The sequence below is a fragment of the Homo sapiens genome, chromosome 7 (assembly GCF_000001405.40).
Source record: "Homo sapiens chromosome 7, GRCh38.p14 Primary Assembly".
NCBI lineage: Eukaryota > Metazoa > Chordata > Mammalia > Primates > Hominidae > Homo > Homo sapiens.
The window spans coordinates 14075255-14084889 of NC_000007.14; the positions used below are offsets into that span (position 1 = coordinate 14075255).

The 9635-nt window shown below is 36.3% G+C and overlaps 1 annotated feature.

Annotated features, from left to right (window-relative positions):
- Nucleotides 5005-6204: an enhancer, noted in NCBI's record as "MED14-independent group 3 enhancer chr7:14119884-14121083 (GRCh37/hg19 assembly coordinates)". NCBI's record gives its function as "activates an origin of replication core promoter dependent on BRD2, BRD4, P300/CBP and CDK7 cofactors, and independent of MED14, by STARR-seq in HCT116 cells {active_cell/tissue: HCT116}" and the evidence as "EXISTENCE:reporter gene assay evidence [ECO:0000049][PMID:35650434]".

Genomic DNA, 9635 nt, shown 5'->3' on the forward strand with positions numbered 1-9635 from the left:
GGTTCACAAAAGACAGTTCCAAAAGCAAATGCCAAGACCTGGCATGAAAATCAGGGCTGGGTGCAATGGCTCACACCTGTAAACCCAGCACTTTGGTAGGCTGAGGTAAGAGGATTGCTTGAGGCCAGGAGTTTGATACTAGCCTTGTCAACATAGCAAGACCCTGTCTCTACAGCAAAATAAATCAGCTGTTCTGCATTCAGCAAACAGTAAAATACTCATGGAAAAGTACAGAGCCTGTATTACAGGCTGTGTTCTTCGCAATGATAGAAGAACTTAAAAAAAAAAAAAGGCTCTACTCTTTGGCTTTTTATAATGACTATATTGACTTTTTGGCTTTCAATTTGTTCTGGAAAATGGATCAGATGGACCACAGAGGGGCCTCCACCTGGTGTACTGCTCTTTGTAAATCTCTGTGGAAATTCTGAGAAAAAAAATCAAAGGCACACTGATGCTCAACACAGCAACCCTGTGTCAGGATCTGAGATGACTGAACTCAAGAAGTTGATGTTCTACTTGGATTTCTTGAAGTGGTAACCTCGGTCCAAGACATGGGTGAACACAGACAAATTCAAACCATGCAATGATGTGCCAAATTACAACACACCCTGGTGGCCTCTACCAATATAATTTTTTCTGTATGCCAATGGAAAAGGCAAAATCTGCAGTTCACCCTTGCCAGCGTATAGTTGGCAAGTAGATTACATTGGCTTTTAACCTATTGCTCCAGGGGAGGGTACTTAAAAGGATATTGACAGAACTTGATACACATTCTGGGTTTGGATTCCCATACTCACTAACTGAAGCCAAAGCTGCTTATGTTATCAAAGAACCGTGACCAAAAAAAAAAAAAAAAGAAATACTCTATCATTTTGGTCCTCTTAATTACATTTCATCAGATTAAGTTATTAACTTCTAGAGAAATGATGGGTAAAGAAACAGAAATATCACATTCAATAGACTTTTAAAATATATTCCCGAAGTGGTGGGTTAATAAAAACTGACATGTGCAATTAAAACACCTATTTAAAAAGATGCAGGTAACAAAGGATTGAAGGGCTGCCCTACAACTTCCAGCTTTATCTTTATTAATTTTATTTTACCAAGAGGATTATTATGGGTCTCTGTTAGATAAATTATTGTGCATTTGAAATAAAATTGGAAAAGACGGGAGAAGAGATGATGCAGGAGCTTACTACATTCAAATCTTCCCTTGTATGTAAACAATTTCTTTTCAGTGCTATACCCAATTATTCCTAGGTTAGAGTTACTGTCCCAGAGGCTGGTAATATCCCAAAAAAGAAATTATGTCTATTAATCTGAATATAACTGAAAGAATCCCAAAGCGATTGATGGGATAAATTATTTCTTCTCCAGACTGCCAAGTTTGGCCTGACAACCTTGTGGCAAATATTTTGTGTAATGATTCTATTTCTTTGTACTTTTCCCATCTAACTCACTATGACTGGGAATAGAATAAAAGAGGAAGCCTTAGTATGTGTCATCTTGTTATCAGCAATATGGACCAGACCATTGGCTGGACCAGAGAGACCCATCTCAGTGGAAAAGCTTTAGATAAAAATTAATGATAGAAGGAAGAAAAGTGAGATTGTAAATGAGGGAAAGATAGTTAATTAATGGAGGTTAAAAAAAGGAAACACTAATATAATTCTGTCTCTCCTTGTGAGAGGCTTGGAGCAAAAGAATACTAGCTCATTTAGCTTCAACTCAGATGTCCTGGAGCAAGCACTCTGCTGGAATCTCTTCCTCTTCTAAAGGAAGAGAAGGACTAAACTGAGCTGGCTAACAGGCACACTAACAAACACACATGAAGGAGTGGGCTATGTCCTCAAAATGGATAAACTGATAAAAGCTCTGACTATGACTACATGAAACAATATTAATATGGCCATGTATTTTGATTCTTTGTTTCTCAAGATATGTCTATTAACAAAGACCCATGGAAGGAAACAACTTACTGAGAATATTTATCAAATGAAATCTGAAGAACACAGATTCATAGTAATCTGAATGAACATTGTGTGGCCATTAATTGTGATGATGAAGATTAAAAAAAAAGGAGCTGGCATATGATCATAGAAGATTTCCTGCTGTATGTCCCATCTGTTATAATATCTTATATACAAATAATTGTTTACTTTATTTTTACTCTCTTTATTACAGCTTTTTCATCACAGTTAAAACATTTAAAAAATAGCCTAATGTTGATGTGATGTAAAATGCATTAGCAGAGTAAATAAAAAACTCCTCAGATAATTATGCCTATGGAGGAGAATTGACCTGAAGAGGACTCAGACTTGATTTAGCAGGTGTATACCATAAAATACAGATAGCTGAAAATTAGAGAGGCAAAGGACTTGTAAAGTTAGTATAAAAGTAACAAGAAAGTTTGTGCTGATATTGATGGCTAGTCTAGCTATCTATTTCAACACATACCAACCTTTAGCAGGCTATTACAAAAGTACAAACGTAATCTGCAGGTGGATTTTTGCTATCTTTTTTCTTTTTTTCTTTTTTTTGAGATAAAGTCTCACTCTGTTGTCCAGGCTGGAGTGAAGTGGAACACTCTCTGCTCACTGCAACCTCTGCCTCCTGGATTCAAACGATTCTCGTGCCTCAGCCTCCCGAGTAGTTGGGATTACAGGCACGCGCCACACGCCTGGCTAATTTTTGTATTTTTAGTAGAGACGGGATTTCACCATGTTGGCCAGCCTGGTTTTGAACTCTCGACCTCAGGTGATCCACCCACCTTGGCTTCCCAAAGTGCTGGGATTACAGGTGTGAGCCCACCATGCCCGACCTACTATTTATTTGATTATGCAATGCTATCAGACTAGTGAGTAGTTAATGACTAATAGAATCACTACCACCCCCAAATCTGTTATTTCACCATAATAAATGCGCATTTGAGTCCAGATTACATTCTTTGTTTCCAATACTAATATACTAATAAGTTTGGGCGACTATAAAGAATGAAGCCACCAGGCTTAAACAGCAGAAATGTCTCATAGTGTTGAAGGCAGGAATTCCAAGATCAGGGTACCAGCATGATTGGGTTCTGAAGAGAGCCCTCCTTCACTTGCAGACTGCCAACTTCTCATTGCAGCTCAGATGGCAGCCTCTCTGTCTGCTTGTTATTAGGGCACTAATCCCATTCATAAGGGCTCTACTTTCATGACTTAATGAACTCCCAAAGGCCCCACCTCCAAATGCCATCACATTGAGATTAGGATTTCAACTTACGAATTTTGGGAGAACACGAGCACTCTGTCATTTCAAATAGTAAGCTTTTTGAAATGACAAATAATCGGGGTAAATGTCGTTTGCTAGCCCAACTCCCTATGCAAAAAAGATTTCTACTTTAGAGCTCTGTTGTTTCATTTGAGACAGTGGATGCTAATAGATTTACCAAAAATTGGTTAGATTTCAAGAAATACAGGTGAAAAGTTCATTTCTTTAAATGACCAAAACTGCTGTGATAATTATTAAAAAATCTGAGAATTCTTCCCACTTATAAATTTTTTTAAATCAATGGTACAATTACAGTAATTATTATTGCCTTTTGTACAGTTCCACTGAAGAACTTGACTGTTCAGCTGCCTTCATAGTTTTGAGACTTTTGTCCCTAGTTAGAATAGTTAATAACATGCTGGATTATTAATATTGACTATAACATGTATTTGAAATTTTTTTTGGTGAGATTCTTATTGAGCAGATTGGGGATAGGATTTTCAGAATAGTTTTGAGTAAAAGAGAAGTGTCAAGTAAAAAGTGCTCTAAATTTCTACCAGCTTTCCTAATGCATATCTAATTATCCAGCCATCTATATATATGTATGCATATATATAATATGCATTATATATATACACATAATATACATTAGCTATGTATATTCATATATATAGCTTTCCTAATGCATATTATATATATGCATTTCCTAATATGCTTCCCTAAAACTATATAATCTATGAATATATAGATATTTATAAATATAATGCCTCATTTATATATATATACACAGACAGATAATACACATATGTATATACACAAACACGAGGGGACTTCAAAAAGTTTGCAGAAAAATGGAATTGGGCTGGGCATGGTGGCTCATGCCTGTAATTCCAGCACTTTGGGAGGCCAAGGCGGGCAGATCACCTGAGGTCAGGAGATCAAGACGATCCTGGCGAACATGGTGAAACCCCGTATCTACTAAAAATACAAAAAAATCAGCCAGGCGTGGGGTCACACGCCTGTTGTCCCAGCTACTTGGGAGGCTGAGGCAGGTCGCTTGAACCCGGGAGGTGGAGGTTGCAGTGAGTCAAGATCGTGCCACTGCACTCCAGCCTAGGCGGCATGAGGCTCTGTCTCAAAAAAAAAAAAAAGAAAGAAAAAAAAAGAAAAACGGAATTAAGATAAAAATAAAAATTATAAACTTTATTTCTCAACATGAACTCCATCAAGGTCAAGACTTGTAAGTAATTACAAGTCAAGCTTTTGTAAAGTAATGATACCAGCCATGTAGTCCATTCCTAAAAATACTGAGGGTCCTGGAAATTTAACTATGTCAATACAGCCTTTTTTACATTATTAATTGAAAAAAAATGGATGCCTTTTAAAGATGTTTTATGATTGGGAAACAAAAGGAAGTCAGAAGAAACCAAATCAGGACTGTAAGGTGAATGCCTAATGATTTCCCATCAAAACTGTTGCAAAATTATTAATGTTTCACGAGGGGAATGAGCAGGAGCATCATCGTGGTAGAGAAAGACTCTCTGGTGAAGTTTCCCCAGGTGTTTTCTGCTAAAGCTTTGGCTAATTTTCTCAAAACACTCTAATGATAGGCAGATGTTACTGTTCTTTGGCCCTCTAGAAAGTCAACAAGCAAAATGCCTTCAGCATCCCAAACAACTGTTGCCGTGATTGTTGCTCTTGGTTGGTCTGCTTTTGCTTTGACTGGACCACTTCTACCTCTTGCCCTTGCTAGTCGTTGGTTGTGCTTTGTCTTCAGAATTGTACTGGAAAGGTCATGTTTCATTTCCTGTTACAATTCTTCAGAGAAATGCTTCAGAATCATGATTTCACTTTTTTTTTTAGATGGAGTCTCGCTCTGTTGCCCAAGCTGGAGTACAGTGGTGCGATCTTGGCTCACTGCAACCCTTGGCTCCTGGAGTTCTCCTGCCTCAGCCTCCTGAGTAGCTGGGACTACAGGTGCATGCAGCTAGACGTGGATATTTTTTTCTATTTTAGTAGAGTTTCACTGTGTTGCCCAGGCTGGTGGCGAACTCCTGAGCTCAGGCAATCCTCCTGCCTCGGCCTCTCAAAGTGCTGGGATTACAGGCTTAAGCCACTGCACCTGGCCAATTCTACTTGTTTAAAATTTCCATTGAAAGCTCTGCTCTTGTCTGCAGCTGATCTGGGTGCAATGATTGTGGCATGCATTCAGTGGAACGTTTGCTCAACTTTAATTCTTCAGTCGGAATTGTGAAGCTGAACCAATTGAGATGAGTATAGTGCTGGTTTTTATCTGTGCTGTTAATCATTTTATTTGTGCTGTGTTTATCTGTGTTAATCATTTTATCTGTTTTATCTGTGCTGTTAATCTGTCCTCTCAAGTTAAGTCATGAACAAGATTAATTTTTTTCCTCACGAACTGATGTGGATGATCCGCCACTGCAGGCTTTATCCTCCAGATCCTCTTGTCCCTTCGTAAAATGAGTTACCCATTTGTAAACTGCTGCTTTCTTTGGGGCATTGTCCCAAAAAACTTTTCATAAAGCACCAACGATTTTACCGTTCTTCCACCTAAGCTTCACCATAAATTTGATATTTGTTCTTGCTTCAATTTTAGCAGAATTCAAGTTGCTCTGGTCTCTTTTCAAACTGATATCTTATCCTTTTTAGTGACTCAAACTCGGATCCTGTTCAGACATGTTATAACAAGTTAGTACCATTTTTTAAATGCGAAAACCTTGAAATTCATGCTTGTTTCTAAAATAATACGCATTGTTTATGAACTTTTGGGAAGATCCCTTATGTGTATGTGTCTGTGTAAAAACTGAAGCTACAATTATCAATAGTCCTCAACCCATCTTTTCTTCAGAAATGATACATTTACAAAAACCTCTACAAAGTCTTTATTAATTTGAATGATGTTATAAATTTGGTGCTTTCTTGAATTTCTTAATATTCTTTTCTTGTATTTTTTTCATTTCTCTAATTGGTCCATTTCAAAGACCGTAAAACTTAAAGGTAGGCGAAGCATCCTAATTCTCTCATGAATTAGCTTCTGAAAAAGACCTCTAGACCTCCTTTTGTTTAAAAAAAAAAAAAAAATCTAGAGTAAAGCACTGATAGCATCAATTACATTGTTTTTTTCTTTTTTAAGTCATGGAAAAGTTTATTCAAGTGTATGAAGAATATTATCATGTAAACCAGATGAAAATCAAACTTCTCTGATGAGGATGTGAAAGCGTCTAAGAACCCTACTTATTTACATTACCCACATTTCTCATGCCGTTGTTTCCATCAAATCCCCACCCAAAAGGATTATTCAAAATTATTAGAAATCCACTTAGTTGAATTAGAAAACCTGTGGATTTAACTATTTCCAGCTTCATTTACTGACCTAAAGTTCTAAGTACAAAACTTAGTTTACATTTTAATGATTCACCTGAAAACCAGTCCAATATTTTAGCACATTTCTAATTAATAATTTACAATAATTAAATAAAATGTTATCTATATTTTGTTCCTGCAAGGCTTCAGGACAAAGTAACATAACAATACAACACTAGGTAGTTTCATATTTCTGTTCTAAGGGAGCCAGAATTTGAGATACAGTAGCTTATAGCCTCATAAATTAAAGTAGATTCTTTTCTGTGTGTGACAGCCAAGAGAAAGTATAAGATTCCTAAGTTATTTTATTTAATTCAAGTCAAAACAAGACTGGATGCACAAAATGAATGTGTTGTGTTATTAATATTCAGAACTTGTCTTAAGAACTCTAGCTCCATCAGAACATTTAAATTTTAAATCATTGTTGAGAGGACATTGGTATACTCTCATTTTGTGTCAATGGCAATTCAGCATCATGGAGTAAAAAAAGCACTCAGCCCAGAAAAGGTAAAACAAATGCCTAGACGAAATAAGGTACAGAGATGCTTTGGGCAACCATGTCATGAGTATTCTGATGCTCAGTTTAATTTTTGTTTCATTAGACCCAGATGGTGCAGTTTCTCAACATACCTAGTAGAAAAGCAAGAGCAAGATGTTCACAAACTAACAGACTTCCAGTGATGAAAATGTGACTGTTAATTGCAAGGTTTTATTTCCAGATGTTCAGATAGCTGAATGCTTTTCAGACAGCACAGAAAGCTTGGCAGAATAGTTCCAAGAAAGTAAAATAAGACAAGAGATAAAAAAAATACTAAAGTTTGAGAAATATAAAACTACCATAAAGGACTGAATATCCAAAAAAATCTTACTGATGGGAACATCTGGAAGATATGTAGAAGAAGATGCAGCAGGAAATAGAACCACTAGTAGTTTAGGTTCGTGTATGGAAGATAAAACTCATCATAATTGGTTTAAATTGTATGGTAAAATATACAATATCTTTCTTTTATTAGGCCTTTAATATGAATATCAATAATTCAAGAAGAAAACTAATTTAATATATAGGTACATGTTTAAATAAGTAAAATGATTCTCTGCAAAAAGTATATGGTTCTTATCTGTTTAAAAAAGTGCTCCTAACCACATGGACATAAACATGGGAACAGTAGACACTGTGGACTCATACAGTGGGGAGGTAGAAATGTGTGTGAGTGGAAAAGCTACCTATTCAGTATTATGCTCACTACCTGGGTGATGGGATTCATACCCCAAACCTCCACATCAAGCAATATCCCCATATAACAAACTTGCACTTGTACTCCCTGTATCTAAAATAAAAGTTGAAATTTATTTAAAAATGCTCCTTTAGTTCATCATTCTTCCAAAGAATTCCACCAATGAAGAATATTGCTTTATCTTTAAGGACAGTTGCAAATGTCTGTGTGTATATATTTTCTATAAAAATTAGTTTCCTCATATGTATAAATATTTCTCAGCAAATACCATTGAAGGACTTGAATTCATCTGAAGTCGATTTGTGAACATGCTAAGAAATCAAATATGGGTGGCCTTTGGAGAAGTCTAAGAGTATAATTTTCATGAATTGTGATGACCAAACACTATTATACCCATATCTGTAAAACAATTTTTAAAGTATGTTCCCCCAGTATAGTGTATTAATTTTGGCAATAAAGAATAAACTTGTACTTCTACTTTAGGGTTCGAACTACATTGTAAAATATATTTTAAAATATCACTTAAAATGAAAAAGGTGGCTTCTGGGACAGATGTAACACGTTGTGGTAGGCCAACGCATCTGCCACAGCAGATGAAAATAATAGATAATTTCTAAAATCAGAATTTTGAGAATATCAGAGTACTCTATGTGAGTGAAGACTAGGTGAAATAGAATTCCAGAAATGAAAGAGACTTTCCTAGGAGAGCTACAATCTCTAGACCTCCAGCTGTTTTCTTTCCTGGTGGCATTTAGAAAATACTGGTGTGAGGTGAGAATAGTTTGGTTTAGATAGGGGAACTTTGCTGTAGGAAAGAGAAGCCAGCAGAGCTTTTAACAGTTGCATAGTTTTAAATTTAGATTGACGCTTGAGGAATCCCAAATATATGGCCGGCATTCACTCTGACATATTTGCAGGCTTGTGGAGTGGTATGGGAGACTGGAGACTGAGTTGGAGGCATCTTTAAAAGACAGTGAAATATTCTGTATTTTGAAACATCCTCCTGGAGGAACTGCTTGCTTATCTCTGCCTCAAGATACATGTTGGATTTTGAACCTCCATGGCCTGAAAGGCTAAAAAGCTAATCTCAAAACCTGTTAATGGGGGAAATGAGTCTCCTACAATGTTTCACAGCCAAGGAAGCAGAGATTAGCTAGGGACTCAATCAAAACTTAGATGAAGACCTAATTAAAACCCAAATTCACCTAGACTACCGTTTCTTTTTCTTTCATCACTTTAAATAATTGATTCCACTCTCTTCTTGCTGGTGGTTTCTGAAGAGAAATTTGATGTAATTTTTATTCTGTGCCTAGATAGGTAAGCAATTATTTTCTCTTCTGGCTTCTTTCAATATTTTCTGTTTGTCGTTGGCCTTTTGAAACTTGAATATGATAAGCCTAGATGTAGACCTTTTAGTGTTTATCTTGTTTAGTGTTCTCTGAACTATGCTAATCTGTGATTTGGTGTGTGATTAAGTTTGGAAAATTTGGAGCCATTATTTCTTCACATTTTTGTGTTCCTCTTTCTCCTGTCTCCTTCTGGTTTTCCTTCTGGTATGTGAATGTTACATCTCTCGTAATCATCCTGAAGTTTTTGGATCTTCTATTACTTTTTTGCTGCTATTGTTCCTTTTTGTGTTTGGTTGGCTTTGTTCAGTGTTCTGATCAGGGCATCAAAAGCATTCTTCATTTCTGTTCACAGTGTTTATTTCTAGCATTTTAATTCTCCCTTAGTGTTTCTATCTCTCTGCTTATGTTACCAATC